Source organism: Homo sapiens, chromosome 2 (assembly GCF_000001405.40).
Source record: "Homo sapiens chromosome 2, GRCh38.p14 Primary Assembly".
Lineage (NCBI taxonomy): Eukaryota > Metazoa > Chordata > Mammalia > Primates > Hominidae > Homo > Homo sapiens.
In genome coordinates this window covers 178558997-178577588 of record NC_000002.12, presented here as the reverse complement: position 1 = coordinate 178577588, position 18592 = coordinate 178558997, and the positions used below count along the sequence as shown (strand labels likewise).

Below are 18592 nucleotides of genomic sequence, written 5' to 3'. Positions count from 1 at the left end.
ACTTTTTATGTACTTTTTTTTTTAAAGCAAATTAAGCCTCCTTCCTTTTCTGATTAAAATGTATTTTTTTCTTTGCAGAGGCACCAACAATTGTCCTTGATCCCACAATAAAAGATGGGCTAACAATTAAAGCAGGGGATACCATTGTTTTGAATGCCATTAGCATTCTTGGCAAACCCCTTCCAAAATCAAGTTGGTCCAAGGCAGGAAAAGACATTAGACCATCAGATATCACTCAGATAACTTCAACCCCAACATCTTCCATGCTTACTATCAAGTATGCCACTAGAAAAGATGCGGGTGAATATACCATCACTGCTACCAATCCTTTTGGCACGAAGGTGGAACATGTGAAGGTAACAGTCCTTGATGTACCTGGTCCCCCAGGTCCTGTTGAAATCAGTAATGTTTCTGCTGAAAAAGCAACACTTACATGGACACCTCCCTTGGAAGATGGCGGCTCACCAATTAAGTCCTATATACTTGAAAAGAGAGAAACCAGCCGACTTTTGTGGACAGTGGTTTCTGAAGATATTCAGTCTTGCAGGCATGTGGCAACCAAACTTATCCAAGGAAATGAGTACATCTTCCGGGTCTCAGCTGTAAACCACTATGGCAAAGGAGAACCTGTACAGTCTGAACCTGTCAAAATGGTAGACAGATTTGGTATGTAGAGCATGTGAGGGAATTGACATGGAAACATTTATAGCAGAGTTTAGGAAATCATGGATTTCTAATAAATTTGCTTCCTTTTCAGGTCCCCCTGGCCCTCCTGAAAAACCAGAGGTATCAAATGTCACTAAGAACACTGCCACTGTCAGCTGGAAAAGGCCAGTGGATGATGGTGGCAGCGAAATTACAGGATATCATGTAGAAAGGAGAGAAAAGAAAAGCCTGCGATGGGTGAGAGCAATAAAAACACCAGTTTCCGATCTCAGGTGCAAAGTAACAGGACTGCAAGAAGGAAGCACCTACGAATTCCGTGTCAGTGCAGAAAACAGAGCAGGAATTGGTCCACCCAGTGAGGCTTCAGATTCTGTTCTGATGAAAGATGCAGCATGTTAGTATTTGTCTTTTTCAACACCGTTCATTCCAGAGTGCCAATATTTTATCTAAATTACCCAAAAGCCAAACTCTGAATATATACTTTTGTGTCTTTGTTTCTTTCTCAGATCCTCCAGGACCACCTTCAAATCCGCATGTCACTGATACTACCAAGAAATCTGCTTCTTTGGCATGGGGCAAGCCTCATTATGATGGTGGACTTGAAATCACTGGCTATGTCGTGGAGCATCAAAAAGTAGGAGACGAGGCCTGGATAAAAGATACCACAGGAACCGCCCTCAGAATCACTCAGTTCGTTGTTCCTGATCTTCAGACTAAAGAAAAATACAACTTCAGAATCAGTGCCATCAACGATGCAGGTGTTGGGGAGCCAGCGGTGATTCCAGATGTTGAAATCGTAGAACGGGAGATGGCTCCTGATTTTGAACTAGATGCCGAGCTTCGAAGAACACTTGTTGTTAGAGCAGGACTCAGTATTAGGATATTTGTGCCAATTAAAGGTCGTCCTGCTCCTGAAGTGACATGGACCAAAGATAACATCAACCTGAAAAACCGAGCCAACATTGAAAATACGGAATCATTTACTCTTCTGATTATCCCAGAATGTAACAGATATGATACCGGTAAATTTGTCATGACCATTGAAAACCCGGCTGGGAAGAAAAGTGGCTTTGTGAACGTCAGAGTCTTGGACACGCCAGGCCCAGTCCTCAACCTGCGGCCTACAGACATCACAAAGGACAGTGTCACCCTGCACTGGGACCTCCCTCTGATAGATGGAGGCTCACGTATAACAAACTACATTGTAGAGAAACGTGAAGCAACACGGAAATCTTATTCCACAGCCACCACTAAGTGCCATAAATGCACATATAAAGTTACCGGCTTGTCTGAAGGGTGTGAATATTTCTTCAGAGTGATGGCAGAGAATGAATATGGAATTGGTGAGCCAACAGAAACTACAGAGCCCGTAAAAGCCTCTGAAGCACCATCTCCACCAGACAGCCTTAACATCATGGACATAACTAAGAGCACCGTCAGCCTGGCATGGCCTAAGCCCAAACACGATGGTGGCAGCAAGATCACTGGCTATGTGATTGAAGCCCAAAGAAAAGGCTCTGACCAGTGGACCCACATCACAACCGTGAAAGGGTTAGAATGTGTTGTGAGGAATCTAACTGAAGGAGAGGAATATACCTTCCAAGTGATGGCAGTGAACAGCGCGGGGAGAAGTGCCCCTAGAGAAAGCAGACCCGTCATTGTCAAGGAGCAGACAATGCTTCCAGAGCTGGATCTCCGTGGCATCTATCAGAAACTGGTCATTGCCAAAGCTGGTGACAACATCAAAGTTGAAATTCCAGTGCTCGGTCGACCGAAGCCCACAGTGACATGGAAAAAAGGAGACCAAATTCTTAAACAGACACAGAGAGTTAATTTTGAAACCACAGCGACTTCAACCATTTTAAATATCAATGAGTGTGTCAGAAGTGATAGTGGGCCCTATCCATTAACAGCAAGGAACATTGTAGGAGAGGTTGGTGATGTCATCACCATTCAAGTCCATGATATCCCAGGGCCACCTACTGGACCAATCAAATTTGATGAAGTTTCATCTGATTTTGTAACCTTCTCTTGGGACCCACCTGAGAACGATGGTGGTGTACCAATAAGCAACTATGTAGTGGAAATGCGGCAGACTGACAGTACTACCTGGGTTGAGTTAGCAACCACCGTTATACGTACTACCTATAAAGCCACCCGCCTTACTACTGGATTAGAGTATCAGTTCCGTGTAAAAGCTCAGAATAGATATGGAGTTGGACCAGGCATCACATCAGCATGCATAGTTGCCAACTATCCATTTAAGGTTCCTGGACCTCCTGGTACCCCTCAGGTAACTGCAGTTACCAAGGATTCAATGACAATTAGCTGGCATGAGCCACTTTCTGATGGTGGAAGCCCCATTTTAGGATATCATGTTGAAAGAAAAGAACGAAATGGTATTCTCTGGCAGACTGTGAGCAAAGCTTTAGTACCAGGCAACATTTTCAAATCAAGTGGACTTACAGATGGTATTGCTTATGAGTTCCGGGTGATTGCAGAAAACATGGCAGGCAAAAGTAAGCCAAGCAAGCCATCAGAACCTATGTTGGCTCTGGATCCCATTGACCCACCTGGAAAACCAGTACCTCTAAATATTACAAGACACACAGTAACACTTAAATGGGCTAAGCCTGAATATACTGGGGGCTTTAAAATTACCAGTTATATCGTTGAAAAGAGAGACCTTCCTAATGGACGGTGGCTGAAGGCCAACTTCAGCAACATTTTGGAGAATGAATTTACAGTCAGTGGCCTAACAGAAGATGCTGCATATGAATTCCGTGTGATCGCCAAAAATGCTGCAGGTGCCATCAGTCCACCATCTGAGCCATCTGATGCTATCACTTGCAGGGATGATGTTGAGGCACCAAAGATAAAGGTGGATGTTAAATTTAAGGACACGGTTATATTAAAAGCAGGTGAAGCATTCAGACTGGAAGCTGATGTTTCAGGCCGCCCACCTCCAACAATGGAATGGAGCAAAGATGGAAAAGAGCTGGAAGGCACAGCAAAGTTAGAAATAAAAATTGCAGATTTCTCTACTAATCTGGTAAACAAAGATTCAACAAGAAGGGATAGTGGTGCCTATACCCTTACAGCGACTAATCCTGGTGGCTTTGCTAAACACATTTTCAATGTCAAAGTTCTTGACAGACCAGGCCCACCTGAAGGACCTTTGGCTGTAACTGAAGTGACATCAGAAAAGTGTGTACTATCATGGTTCCCTCCACTGGATGATGGAGGTGCCAAAATTGATCATTACATAGTACAGAAACGTGAAACCAGCAGATTGGCATGGACAAATGTAGCCTCAGAAGTCCAAGTAACAAAGCTAAAGGTCACTAAACTCTTGAAAGGCAATGAATACATATTCCGTGTCATGGCTGTAAATAAATATGGAGTGGGAGAGCCACTGGAATCAGAGCCTGTGCTTGCAGTGAATCCTTATGGACCCCCTGATCCGCCCAAAAACCCTGAAGTGACAACTATTACTAAAGATTCGATGGTTGTCTGCTGGGGACATCCTGATTCTGATGGTGGAAGTGAAATCATCAATTATATTGTGGAACGGCGTGATAAAGCTGGCCAACGCTGGATTAAATGCAACAAAAAAACTCTTACTGATTTAAGATATAAAGTGTCTGGACTGACAGAAGGACATGAATATGAGTTCAGGATTATGGCTGAAAATGCTGCTGGAATTAGTGCACCAAGTCCTACCAGTCCATTTTACAAGGCTTGTGACACTGTGTTTAAACCTGGACCACCAGGTAACCCACGTGTTCTGGATACAAGCAGATCATCCATTTCAATCGCTTGGAATAAACCTATCTATGATGGTGGTTCAGAAATCACTGGGTATATGGTTGAGATTGCCCTGCCAGAGGAAGATGAATGGCAGATTGTCACTCCACCAGCAGGACTCAAGGCAACTTCGTATACTATCACTGGCCTCACAGAGAATCAGGAATATAAGATCCGCATCTATGCCATGAATTCCGAAGGACTTGGGGAACCTGCCCTTGTTCCTGGAACTCCAAAGGCTGAAGACAGAATGCTGCCTCCAGAAATTGAACTGGATGCTGACCTGCGCAAAGTTGTTACTATAAGGGCCTGCTGCACCCTGAGACTTTTTGTTCCCATCAAAGGAAGGCCTGCACCTGAGGTGAAGTGGGCCCGGGACCATGGAGAATCTTTAGATAAAGCTAGCATCGAATCCACAAGCTCTTACACCCTGCTTATTGTTGGAAATGTAAACAGATTTGACAGTGGCAAATATATACTAACTGTAGAAAATAGTTCAGGCAGCAAGTCTGCATTTGTCAATGTTAGAGTTCTCGATACACCAGGCCCCCCACAGGATCTGAAGGTAAAAGAGGTCACTAAGACATCTGTCACACTCACATGGGACCCACCTCTCCTTGATGGAGGTTCAAAAATCAAGAACTATATTGTTGAAAAGCGGGAATCAACAAGAAAAGCATATTCAACTGTTGCAACAAACTGCCACAAGACTTCCTGGAAGGTAGACCAGCTTCAAGAAGGCTGTAGCTACTATTTCAGGGTTCTCGCAGAAAATGAATATGGCATTGGGCTGCCTGCTGAAACCGCAGAATCTGTGAAAGCATCAGAACGACCTCTTCCTCCAGGAAAAATAACTTTGATGGATGTCACAAGAAATAGTGTGTCACTCTCTTGGGAGAAACCAGAGCATGATGGAGGCAGCCGAATTCTAGGCTACATTGTGGAGATGCAGACCAAAGGCAGTGACAAATGGGCCACGTGTGCCACAGTCAAGGTCACTGAAGCCACTATCACTGGATTAATTCAGGGTGAAGAATACTCTTTCCGTGTTTCAGCTCAGAATGAAAAGGGCATCAGTGATCCTAGACAACTGAGTGTGCCAGTGATCGCCAAAGATCTTGTCATTCCACCAGCCTTCAAACTCCTGTTCAATACTTTCACTGTACTGGCAGGTGAAGACCTAAAAGTTGATGTTCCATTCATTGGCCGCCCTACCCCAGCTGTAACCTGGCATAAAGATAATGTACCACTGAAGCAGACAACTAGAGTAAATGCAGAGAGCACAGAAAATAATTCACTACTGACAATAAAGGACGCCTGCCGAGAAGATGTTGGCCATTATGTGGTTAAACTGACTAACTCAGCTGGTGAAGCTATTGAAACCCTTAATGTTATCGTTCTTGACAAACCAGGGCCTCCAACTGGACCAGTTAAAATGGATGAAGTGACAGCTGATAGTATTACTCTTTCCTGGGGCCCACCCAAGTATGATGGTGGAAGTTCTATCAATAATTACATTGTTGAGAAACGGGACACTTCCACAACCACCTGGCAAATTGTATCAGCTACAGTTGCAAGGACAACAATAAAGGCTTGCAGACTGAAGACTGGATGTGAATATCAGTTTAGAATTGCAGCTGAAAACAGATATGGGAAGAGTACCTACCTCAATTCAGAGCCTACTGTAGCCCAATATCCATTCAAAGTTCCTGGTCCTCCTGGCACTCCAGTTGTCACACTGTCCTCCAGGGACAGCATGGAAGTACAATGGAATGAGCCAATCAGTGATGGAGGAAGTAGAGTCATTGGCTATCATCTAGAACGCAAGGAAAGAAATAGCATCCTCTGGGTTAAGTTGAATAAAACACCTATTCCTCAAACCAAGTTTAAGACAACTGGCCTTGAAGAAGGTGTTGAATATGAATTTAGAGTCTCTGCAGAGAACATCGTGGGCATTGGCAAGCCGAGTAAAGTATCAGAATGTTATGTGGCTCGTGACCCATGTGATCCACCAGGACGGCCAGAGGCAATCATTGTCACAAGGAATTCTGTGACTCTTCAGTGGAAGAAACCCACCTATGACGGTGGAAGCAAGATCACTGGTTATATTGTTGAGAAGAAAGAATTACCTGAGGGCCGTTGGATGAAAGCCAGTTTTACAAATATTATTGACACTCATTTTGAAGTAACTGGCCTAGTTGAAGATCACAGATATGAGTTCCGGGTTATAGCCCGAAATGCCGCAGGAGTGTTTAGTGAGCCTTCAGAAAGCACAGGAGCAATAACAGCTAGAGATGAGGTAGATCCACCACGAATAAGTATGGATCCAAAATACAAAGACACAATCGTGGTTCATGCTGGTGAATCATTCAAGGTTGATGCAGATATTTATGGCAAACCAATACCAACCATTCAGTGGATAAAAGGTGATCAGGAGCTTTCAAACACAGCTCGATTAGAAATAAAGAGCACCGACTTTGCCACCAGTCTCAGTGTAAAAGATGCAGTACGTGTCGACAGTGGAAATTACATACTGAAGGCCAAAAATGTTGCAGGAGAAAGATCAGTTACTGTGAATGTCAAGGTTCTTGACAGACCAGGGCCACCTGAAGGACCTGTTGTTATCTCAGGAGTTACAGCAGAAAAATGCACACTAGCTTGGAAACCCCCACTTCAGGATGGTGGGAGTGACATCATAAATTATATTGTGGAAAGGAGAGAAACCAGCCGCTTAGTTTGGACTGTGGTTGATGCCAATGTGCAGACTCTCAGCTGCAAGGTTACTAAGCTTCTTGAAGGCAATGAATATACTTTCCGTATAATGGCAGTAAACAAATATGGTGTTGGTGAACCTCTTGAATCTGAGCCAGTAGTTGCCAAGAATCCATTTGTAGTACCAGATGCACCAAAAGCTCCAGAAGTCACAACAGTGACCAAGGACTCAATGATTGTTGTATGGGAAAGACCAGCATCTGATGGTGGTAGTGAAATTCTTGGATATGTTCTTGAGAAACGGGATAAAGAAGGCATTAGATGGACAAGATGCCATAAGCGTCTGATTGGAGAGTTGCGCCTGAGAGTAACTGGACTCATAGAAAATCACGATTATGAGTTCAGAGTTTCTGCTGAGAATGCTGCTGGACTTAGTGAACCAAGCCCTCCTTCTGCTTACCAAAAGGCTTGTGATCCTATTTATAAACCAGGACCCCCAAACAACCCCAAAGTCATAGACATAACCAGATCTTCAGTATTCCTTTCTTGGAGCAAACCAATATATGATGGTGGCTGTGAAATTCAAGGATACATTGTTGAAAAATGTGATGTGAGTGTTGGTGAATGGACAATGTGCACTCCACCAACAGGAATTAATAAAACAAACATAGAAGTAGAGAAGCTGTTGGAAAAGCATGAATACAACTTCCGTATCTGTGCTATTAATAAAGCTGGAGTTGGAGAACATGCTGACGTCCCTGGACCTATTATAGTTGAAGAAAAATTAGAAGCACCAGACATTGATCTTGACCTAGAACTAAGGAAAATCATAAATATAAGGGCAGGTGGCTCCTTAAGGTTATTTGTTCCTATAAAAGGTCGTCCTACACCAGAAGTTAAATGGGGAAAGGTGGATGGTGAAATCCGAGATGCAGCTATAATTGATGTCACTAGCAGTTTCACCTCTCTTGTTCTTGACAATGTCAACCGATATGATAGTGGAAAATATACGCTTACATTAGAAAACAGCAGTGGAACAAAGTCTGCCTTTGTTACTGTGAGAGTTCTGGACACGCCAAGTCCACCTGTTAACCTGAAAGTCACAGAAATCACCAAAGACTCAGTATCAATTACATGGGAACCTCCTTTGTTGGATGGGGGATCCAAAATAAAAAATTACATTGTTGAGAAACGTGAAGCCACAAGAAAATCATATGCTGCTGTTGTAACTAACTGCCATAAGAATTCTTGGAAAATCGATCAGCTCCAAGAAGGTTGCAGTTATTACTTTAGAGTCACAGCTGAGAATGAGTATGGTATTGGCCTTCCTGCCCAGACTGCTGATCCAATTAAGGTTGCAGAAGTGCCACAACCTCCTGGAAAAATAACTGTGGATGATGTCACCAGAAACAGTGTCTCTCTGAGTTGGACAAAACCTGAACATGATGGTGGCAGTAAAATCATTCAGTATATTGTGGAAATGCAAGCTAAACACAGTGAGAAATGGTCAGAGTGTGCTCGAGTAAAGTCTCTTCAGGCAGTAATTACCAACCTAACTCAAGGGGAAGAATATCTTTTTAGAGTTGTTGCTGTAAATGAAAAGGGGAGAAGTGATCCTCGGTCCCTTGCAGTTCCAATAGTTGCCAAAGATCTGGTAATTGAGCCAGATGTAAAACCTGCATTCAGTAGTTACAGTGTACAGGTTGGCCAAGATTTGAAAATAGAAGTGCCAATTTCTGGACGTCCTAAGCCAACCATTACCTGGACTAAAGATGGTCTCCCACTGAAGCAGACCACAAGAATCAATGTTACCGATTCACTGGATCTCACCACACTCAGTATTAAAGAAACTCATAAGGATGATGGTGGACAATATGGAATCACAGTTGCCAATGTTGTTGGTCAGAAGACAGCATCCATCGAAATTGTAACTCTAGATAAACCTGATCCTCCAAAAGGACCTGTTAAATTTGATGACGTCAGTGCTGAAAGTATTACATTATCTTGGAACCCTCCATTATATACAGGGGGCTGCCAAATCACCAACTACATTGTTCAGAAAAGAGATACAACCACCACAGTATGGGATGTTGTTTCTGCTACTGTTGCTAGAACTACACTCAAAGTGACCAAACTGAAAACTGGTACAGAATACCAATTTAGAATATTTGCCGAAAACAGATATGGACAAAGCTTTGCCTTAGAGTCTGATCCAATTGTAGCTCAATATCCCTACAAAGAACCAGGCCCTCCAGGTACACCATTTGCCACAGCCATTTCCAAAGACTCCATGGTCATACAGTGGCATGAACCAGTCAACAATGGTGGAAGCCCCGTCATAGGTTACCACCTGGAGAGAAAAGAAAGAAACAGTATTTTGTGGACAAAGGTCAACAAAACTATTATTCATGACACCCAATTCAAAGCACAGAATCTTGAAGAAGGCATTGAATATGAATTCAGAGTGTATGCTGAAAATATTGTTGGTGTAGGCAAAGCAAGCAAGAATTCTGAATGCTATGTAGCCAGAGATCCCTGTGACCCACCAGGAACCCCAGAACCAATAATGGTTAAAAGAAATGAAATCACTTTACAGTGGACCAAACCTGTGTATGATGGTGGAAGTATGATTACAGGCTACATTGTAGAGAAACGTGATTTGCCTGATGGTCGTTGGATGAAAGCTAGCTTTACAAATGTCATTGAAACTCAATTTACTGTGTCAGGTCTTACTGAAGATCAAAGATATGAATTCAGAGTCATTGCAAAGAATGCAGCTGGTGCAATAAGTAAACCCTCTGACAGTACTGGACCAATAACTGCCAAGGATGAGGTTGAACTCCCAAGAATTTCAATGGATCCAAAATTCAGAGACACAATTGTGGTAAATGCTGGAGAAACATTCAGACTTGAGGCTGATGTCCATGGAAAGCCCCTACCTACCATTGAGTGGTTAAGAGGAGATAAGGAAATTGAAGAATCTGCTAGATGTGAAATAAAGAACACAGATTTCAAGGCTTTACTTATTGTAAAAGATGCAATTAGAATTGATGGTGGGCAGTATATTTTAAGAGCTTCCAATGTTGCAGGTTCTAAGTCATTCCCAGTAAATGTAAAAGTATTAGATAGACCAGGACCTCCAGAAGGGCCAGTCCAGGTTACTGGAGTCACTTCTGAAAAATGCTCTTTAACATGGTCTCCACCACTTCAAGATGGTGGCAGTGACATTTCTCACTATGTTGTTGAAAAGCGAGAAACCAGTCGACTTGCCTGGACTGTTGTTGCTTCAGAAGTTGTGACCAATTCTCTGAAAGTTACCAAACTCTTAGAAGGTAATGAATATGTTTTCCGTATAATGGCTGTCAACAAATATGGTGTTGGAGAGCCTTTGGAATCTGCACCAGTACTAATGAAAAATCCATTTGTGCTTCCTGGACCACCAAAAAGCTTGGAAGTCACAAATATTGCCAAAGACTCCATGACCGTCTGTTGGAACCGTCCAGATAGTGATGGTGGAAGTGAGATTATTGGTTACATTGTAGAGAAAAGAGACAGAAGTGGCATTCGATGGATAAAATGTAATAAACGCCGCATTACAGATTTGCGTCTAAGAGTGACAGGATTAACAGAAGATCATGAGTATGAATTCAGGGTCTCTGCAGAAAATGCTGCTGGAGTTGGGGAACCAAGTCCAGCTACAGTTTATTATAAAGCCTGTGATCCTGTGTTCAAACCTGGCCCACCTACCAATGCACACATTGTAGACACCACTAAAAATTCAATCACACTTGCCTGGGGTAAACCCATCTATGATGGCGGCAGTGAGATCTTGGGATATGTAGTAGAAATCTGTAAAGCAGATGAAGAAGAATGGCAAATAGTTACTCCACAGACTGGCCTGAGAGTCACTCGATTTGAAATTTCAAAACTCACTGAACACCAAGAGTATAAAATACGAGTCTGTGCCCTCAACAAAGTTGGTTTAGGTGAGGCTACATCAGTTCCTGGTACTGTGAAACCAGAAGATAAACTTGAAGCACCTGAACTTGACCTTGACTCCGAATTAAGAAAAGGAATTGTTGTAAGAGCTGGTGGATCTGCCAGAATTCACATTCCATTCAAAGGTCGTCCAACGCCTGAGATCACTTGGTCTCGAGAGGAAGGTGAATTCACAGATAAGGTCCAAATTGAAAAGGGAGTAAACTATACCCAACTATCAATAGATAACTGTGATAGAAATGATGCTGGAAAATACATTCTTAAGTTGGAAAACAGCAGTGGATCAAAGTCTGCTTTTGTAACTGTGAAAGTTCTTGACACTCCAGGACCACCACAGAATTTGGCAGTCAAAGAAGTGAGAAAAGATTCTGCCTTCCTGGTATGGGAGCCACCCATCATTGATGGAGGGGCAAAGGTCAAGAACTATGTGATTGACAAACGTGAGTCAACCAGAAAAGCGTATGCTAATGTGAGTAGTAAATGCAGCAAAACAAGTTTTAAAGTGGAAAACCTTACAGAAGGAGCCATTTATTACTTCAGAGTCATGGCTGAAAATGAATTTGGAGTTGGTGTTCCAGTGGAAACTGTTGATGCCGTGAAAGCTGCTGAACCTCCTTCCCCACCAGGAAAGGTTACACTCACTGATGTGTCCCAGACCAGTGCATCACTTATGTGGGAGAAACCTGAACATGATGGCGGTAGCAGAGTCCTGGGGTACGTTGTTGAAATGCAGCCCAAAGGAACTGAAAAATGGAGCATTGTGGCTGAATCCAAAGTCTGTAATGCAGTTGTTACTGGTTTGAGTTCTGGACAAGAATATCAGTTCCGTGTCAAGGCTTATAATGAGAAAGGAAAAAGCGATCCAAGAGTGTTGGGTGTTCCTGTCATAGCCAAGGACTTGACTATACAGCCTAGTTTAAAGTTACCATTTAACACATATAGTATCCAAGCTGGAGAAGATCTTAAAATAGAAATTCCAGTTATAGGCCGACCAAGACCTAACATTTCTTGGGTCAAAGATGGTGAGCCTCTTAAACAGACAACAAGAGTAAACGTTGAAGAAACAGCTACCTCAACTGTTTTGCACATTAAAGAAGGTAACAAAGATGACTTTGGAAAATACACCGTAACGGCAACAAATAGTGCAGGCACAGCAACAGAAAATCTCAGTGTTATCGTTTTAGAAAAGCCTGGACCTCCAGTTGGCCCAGTTCGGTTTGATGAAGTTAGTGCAGACTTTGTAGTCATATCTTGGGAACCTCCAGCCTATACTGGTGGCTGCCAAATAAGCAACTACATTGTAGAGAAGCGAGATACAACCACCACCACTTGGCACATGGTATCAGCAACAGTTGCAAGAACAACAATTAAAATAACCAAACTGAAAACAGGCACGGAGTACCAGTTTAGAATTTTTGCTGAAAACAGGTATGGAAAAAGTGCCCCACTGGATTCTAAGGCAGTTATTGTACAATATCCATTTAAAGAACCTGGACCACCTGGAACTCCTTTTGTGACATCAATCTCAAAAGATCAGATGCTTGTGCAATGGCATGAGCCAGTGAATGATGGAGGCACCAAAATTATTGGCTACCATCTTGAACAGAAAGAAAAGAACAGTATTTTATGGGTCAAGTTAAATAAGACCCCCATTCAGGACACCAAATTCAAAACAACTGGGCTTGATGAGGGCCTTGAGTATGAGTTCAAAGTTTCTGCTGAAAATATTGTTGGCATTGGCAAGCCTAGCAAAGTGTCAGAATGCTTTGTTGCTCGTGATCCATGTGACCCACCTGGTCGCCCTGAAGCCATTGTTATTACAAGAAACAATGTCACACTGAAATGGAAGAAACCTGCCTATGATGGTGGTAGCAAAATAACAGGTTATATTGTAGAAAAGAAAGATCTACCTGATGGCCGCTGGATGAAAGCCAGCTTTACCAACGTATTAGAAACTGAATTTACAGTGAGTGGACTTGTAGAAGACCAAAGATATGAATTTAGAGTAATTGCAAGAAATGCAGCTGGAAACTTTAGTGAACCATCTGATAGTAGTGGTGCCATTACTGCAAGAGATGAAATTGATGCACCAAATGCCTCTCTGGATCCAAAATATAAAGATGTCATCGTTGTTCATGCAGGAGAGACTTTTGTTCTTGAAGCCGACATCCGTGGCAAACCTATACCTGATGTTGTTTGGTCAAAAGATGGAAAAGAACTTGAAGAAACAGCTGCTAGAATGGAAATTAAATCTACTATTCAGAAAACAACTCTTGTTGTCAAAGACTGTATACGGACTGATGGAGGACAATATATTCTGAAACTCAGCAATGTTGGTGGTACAAAGTCTATACCCATCACTGTAAAGGTACTTGACAGGCCAGGGCCTCCTGAAGGGCCTCTGAAAGTTACTGGAGTTACTGCGGAAAAATGTTACCTGGCATGGAACCCACCTTTGCAAGATGGTGGTGCTAATATTTCACATTACATCATTGAAAAGAGGGAGACAAGCCGACTCTCTTGGACCCAGGTTTCAACTGAGGTACAGGCCCTTAACTACAAAGTTACTAAACTTCTTCCTGGTAATGAGTACATTTTCCGTGTCATGGCTGTGAATAAATATGGAATTGGAGAGCCCTTGGAATCTGGGCCTGTTACGGCCTGTAATCCTTATAAGCCACCAGGTCCTCCCTCAACACCTGAAGTCTCAGCAATCACCAAAGATTCTATGGTAGTAACATGGGCACGCCCAGTAGACGACGGAGGTACCGAAATTGAGGGCTACATTCTTGAAAAACGAGATAAGGAAGGCGTTAGATGGACCAAGTGCAACAAGAAAACATTAACGGATCTGCGGCTCAGGGTAACTGGTCTTACCGAAGGCCATTCCTATGAATTCAGAGTTGCTGCTGAAAATGCAGCTGGTGTGGGAGAACCTAGTGAGCCATCTGTTTTCTACCGTGCGTGTGATGCCTTGTATCCACCAGGTCCCCCAAGCAATCCAAAAGTGACGGACACTTCCAGATCTTCTGTCTCCCTGGCATGGAGTAAGCCAATTTATGATGGTGGCGCACCTGTTAAAGGCTATGTTGTAGAGGTCAAAGAAGCTGCTGCGGATGAATGGACAACCTGCACTCCACCAACAGGATTACAAGGAAAGCAGTTCACAGTGACCAAGCTTAAAGAAAACACTGAATATAACTTCCGTATTTGTGCCATCAATTCTGAAGGTGTAGGTGAACCTGCAACTCTACCTGGCTCAGTGGTTGCTCAGGAGAGGATAGAGCCACCAGAAATAGAACTCGATGCTGATCTCAGAAAGGTGGTCGTTCTGCGTGCAAGTGCTACTTTACGCTTATTTGTCACTATCAAAGGTCGACCAGAACCCGAAGTTAAATGGGAAAAGGCAGAAGGCATTCTCACTGACAGGGCTCAGATAGAGGTGACCAGCTCATTTACAATGTTGGTGATTGATAATGTTACCAGATTTGACAGTGGTCGGTATAATCTGACATTAGAAAATAATAGTGGCTCCAAAACAGCTTTTGTTAACGTCAGAGTTCTTGACTCACCAAGTGCCCCTGTGAATTTGACCATAAGAGAAGTGAAGAAAGACTCAGTGACGTTGTCCTGGGAACCACCACTTATTGATGGTGGAGCTAAGATTACAAACTACATTGTCGAAAAACGAGAAACTACAAGAAAAGCCTATGCTACCATTACAAATAATTGCACTAAAACTACTTTCAGAATTGAAAATCTACAAGAAGGATGTTCTTACTACTTCCGAGTCTTGGCTTCCAATGAATATGGGATTGGTTTGCCAGCTGAAACAACAGAACCCGTTAAAGTGTCTGAACCACCCCTCCCACCTGGAAGAGTAACTCTTGTTGATGTGACCCGTAATACAGCTACAATTAAGTGGGAGAAACCAGAAAGTGATGGTGGCAGCAAAATTACTGGTTATGTGGTTGAAATGCAGACTAAAGGGAGTGAAAAGTGGAGCACCTGCACACAAGTTAAGACTCTAGAAGCAACTATATCTGGCTTAACTGCAGGAGAAGAGTATGTCTTCAGGGTAGCTGCAGTTAACGAAAAGGGAAGAAGTGATCCAAGACAACTTGGAGTGCCAGTAATTGCAAGGGATATTGAAATAAAGCCTTCAGTTGAGCTTCCTTTCCATACTTTCAATGTAAAGGCTAGAGAACAACTTAAGATTGATGTGCCATTCAAAGGAAGACCTCAAGCTACTGTGAACTGGAGAAAAGATGGTCAGACTCTTAAAGAGACAACTAGAGTCAATGTTTCTTCTTCAAAGACTGTAACATCACTATCTATTAAGGAAGCTTCAAAGGAAGATGTTGGAACTTATGAATTATGTGTTTCAAACAGTGCTGGATCCATAACAGTTCCTATTACTATAATTGTCCTTGACAGACCAGGACCTCCAGGTCCTATACGTATTGATGAGGTTAGTTGTGACAGCATAACCATTTCTTGGAATCCTCCAGAATATGATGGTGGCTGCCAAATTAGCAATTACATTGTTGAAAAGAAAGAAACCACCTCTACAACATGGCACATAGTTTCACAAGCAGTTGCAAGAACATCCATTAAAATAGTTCGCCTGACAACAGGAAGTGAGTATCAGTTCCGTGTTTGTGCAGAAAACCGCTATGGAAAGAGCTCCTACAGTGAATCTTCAGCTGTTGTTGCAGAGTATCCATTCAGTCCCCCAGGTCCTCCTGGTACTCCTAAAGTTGTGCATGCCACAAAATCTACCATGCTTGTAACCTGGCAAGTGCCAGTTAATGATGGAGGAAGTCGAGTAATTGGCTATCATCTTGAGTATAAAGAAAGAAGCAGCATTCTTTGGTCAAAAGCAAATAAAATCCTCATTGCTGATACTCAAATGAAAGTCTCCGGCCTTGATGAAGGACTGATGTATGAGTATCGTGTATATGCTGAAAATATTGCTGGAATTGGTAAATGCAGTAAATCTTGTGAACCAGTCCCTGCAAGAGATCCTTGTGACCCTCCTGGACAACCTGAAGTCACAAATATCACAAGAAAATCAGTGTCACTTAAATGGTCTAAACCACATTATGATGGTGGAGCTAAGATCACAGGATACATTGTTGAACGCAGAGAACTACCAGATGGCCGGTGGCTGAAGTGCAATTATACTAATATACAAGAAACATACTTTGAAGTAACTGAACTTACTGAAGATCAGCGTTATGAATTCCGGGTTTTTGCAAGGAATGCTGCTGACTCAGTTAGTGAGCCATCTGAATCCACTGGGCCTATTATAGTTAAAGATGATGTTGAGCCTCCAAGAGTTATGATGGATGTCAAGTTCCGAGACGTTATTGTTGTCAAAGCTGGAGAGGTCCTTAAGATAAATGCAGACATTGCAGGGCGACCTCTGCCAGTAATTTCCTGGGCCAAGGATGGTATAGAAATTGAAGAAAGAGCAAGAACAGAAATCATCTCAACAGACAATCATACTTTGTTAACAGTTAAAGACTGTATAAGACGAGACACTGGGCAATATGTACTAACACTGAAGAATGTTGCCGGCACTCGGTCTGTGGCCGTTAATTGCAAAGTACTTGATAAGCCTGGTCCACCAGCAGGACCACTTGAAATAAATGGCCTCACTGCTGAGAAATGCTCTCTTTCCTGGGGACGTCCCCAAGAAGATGGTGGTGCAGATATCGACTATTACATCGTAGAAAAACGTGAAACAAGCCACCTTGCATGGACAATATGTGAAGGAGAGTTACAGATGACATCCTGTAAAGTAACCAAGTTACTCAAAGGCAATGAATATATATTTAGAGTAACTGGTGTTAATAAATATGGTGTTGGTGAGCCCCTAGAGAGTGTAGCTATAAAGGCACTAGATCCATTTACAGTTCCAAGTCCACCCACGTCTTTGGAAATTACTTCTGTGACCAAAGAATCTATGACACTTTGCTGGTCAAGACCCGAGAGTGATGGAGGTAGTGAAATATCTGGATATATAATTGAAAGGCGAGAGAAAAATAGCCTAAGATGGGTGCGTGTAAACAAAAAACCAGTTTATGATCTAAGAGTGAAATCAACAGGACTTCGGGAAGGATGTGAATATGAATATCGTGTTTATGCAGAAAATGCTGCTGGCCTAAGTCTTCCAAGTGAAACCTCTCCCTTAATTAGGGCAGAAGATCCAGTGTTCCTACCATCTCCTCCATCCAAACCCAAAATTGTGGACTCAGGCAAGACAACTATAACTATTGCCTGGGTTAAGCCGCTGTTTGATGGTGGGGCCCCGATAACTGGATATACTGTAGAATACAAAAAATCTGATGACACTGACTGGAAAACTTCCATTCAGAGCTTACGAGGGACAGAATATACAATAAGCGGACTAACAACAGGAGCTGAATATGTTTTCAGAGTAAAATCTGTCAATAAGGTTGGTGCTAGTGACCCCAGTGATAGCTCTGACCCTCAGATAGCAAAGGAAAGAGAAGAAGAACCTTTATTTGATATTGACAGTGAAATGAGGAAGACCTTGATTGTCAAGGCTGGTGCCTCATTTACCATGACTGTGCCTTTCCGAGGAAGACCAGTACCCAATGTCTTGTGGAGTAAGCCAGACACTGACCTCCGTACTAGAGCTTATGTTGATACCACAGACTCTCGTACATCACTGACCATTGAAAATGCCAACAGAAATGACTCTGGAAAGTACACATTAACAATTCAGAATGTTTTGAGTGCTGCTTCACTGACCTTAGTTGTCAAAGTTTTAGATACCCCAGGTCCTCCAACCAACATTACTGTGCAAGATGTAACCAAAGAGTCTGCAGTGTTATCCTGGGATGTTCCTGAAAACGATGGTGGAGCACCAGTGAAGAATTACCACATAGAAAAACGTGAGGCCAGCAAGAAAGCATGGGTCTCTGTGACCAACAACTGTAACCGCCTCTCCTACAAAGTTACCAATTTACAAGAAGGAGCTATCTATTACTTCAGAGTCTCTGGAGAAAATGAGTTTGGTGTTGGTATACCAGCTGAAACAAAGGAAGGAGTAAAAATAACAGGTATGTTTTAAGAATAAGGAAATTCTACATATCCACGTTAATTTTGCTAGAATAGTGTGAGTCATTCTAATTAGTCGTTATTTCATCTTAAATGCTTTTGGGTTCACACCCTTCACACCCCAAACTATTCATACTATGGCACAAAATGGAATCTCTAGTGAAGAGTCTTTCATTGATTAAAAAAACAGAAATTTACGTAGCTAAAATTGGATAATATATGTTGAATTTAAGTATTATTGAATCTAACTGTATATATATGTAGGTATACATGTTTATATATATATATACACAGATTATATATATATAGTATGTGT

At 42.4% G+C, this 18592-nt stretch overlaps 1 protein-coding gene and 1 long non-coding RNA gene across 23 annotated transcripts in view, besides 1 other annotated feature; one reads left to right on the top strand and one right to left on the bottom strand.

The window, feature by feature from the left end:
- TTN-AS1 (TTN antisense RNA 1) overlaps window positions 1-18592 on the bottom strand; it is a 97391-nt gene that overhangs the window by 42629 nt on the left and 36170 nt on the right. The window contains exon 2 of one of the 2 annotated variants that reach the window (NR_038271.1): window positions 6140-6289. The exons of the other annotated variant lie outside the window; for it this stretch is intronic. This is a non-coding gene — a long non-coding RNA (TTN antisense RNA 1). The remainder of the gene's footprint in view (window positions 1-6139; window positions 6290-18592) is intronic. 2 annotated transcript variants of the gene reach the window in all.
- Window positions 1-18592, top strand: part of TTN (titin) — a 281435-nt gene that overhangs the window by 229835 nt on the left and 33008 nt on the right. For all 21 annotated transcript variants that reach the window (NM_003319.4, NM_133437.4, NM_133432.3 and 18 more), the window contains 3 exons: window positions 79-666; window positions 758-1060; window positions 1173-18278. In NM_003319.4, coding sequence (NP_003310.4) covers window positions 79-666; window positions 758-1060; window positions 1173-18278 — 17997 coding nt within the window. The remainder of the gene's footprint in view (window positions 1-78; window positions 667-757; window positions 1061-1172; window positions 18279-18592) is intronic.
- Window positions 912-2111: an enhancer, noted in NCBI's record as "BRD4-independent group 4 enhancer chr2:179440205-179441404 (GRCh37/hg19 assembly coordinates)". NCBI's record gives its function as "activates an origin of replication core promoter dependent on BRD2, P300/CBP, MED14 and CDK7 cofactors, and independent of BRD4, by STARR-seq in HCT116 cells {active_cell/tissue: HCT116}" and the evidence as "EXISTENCE:reporter gene assay evidence [ECO:0000049][PMID:35650434]".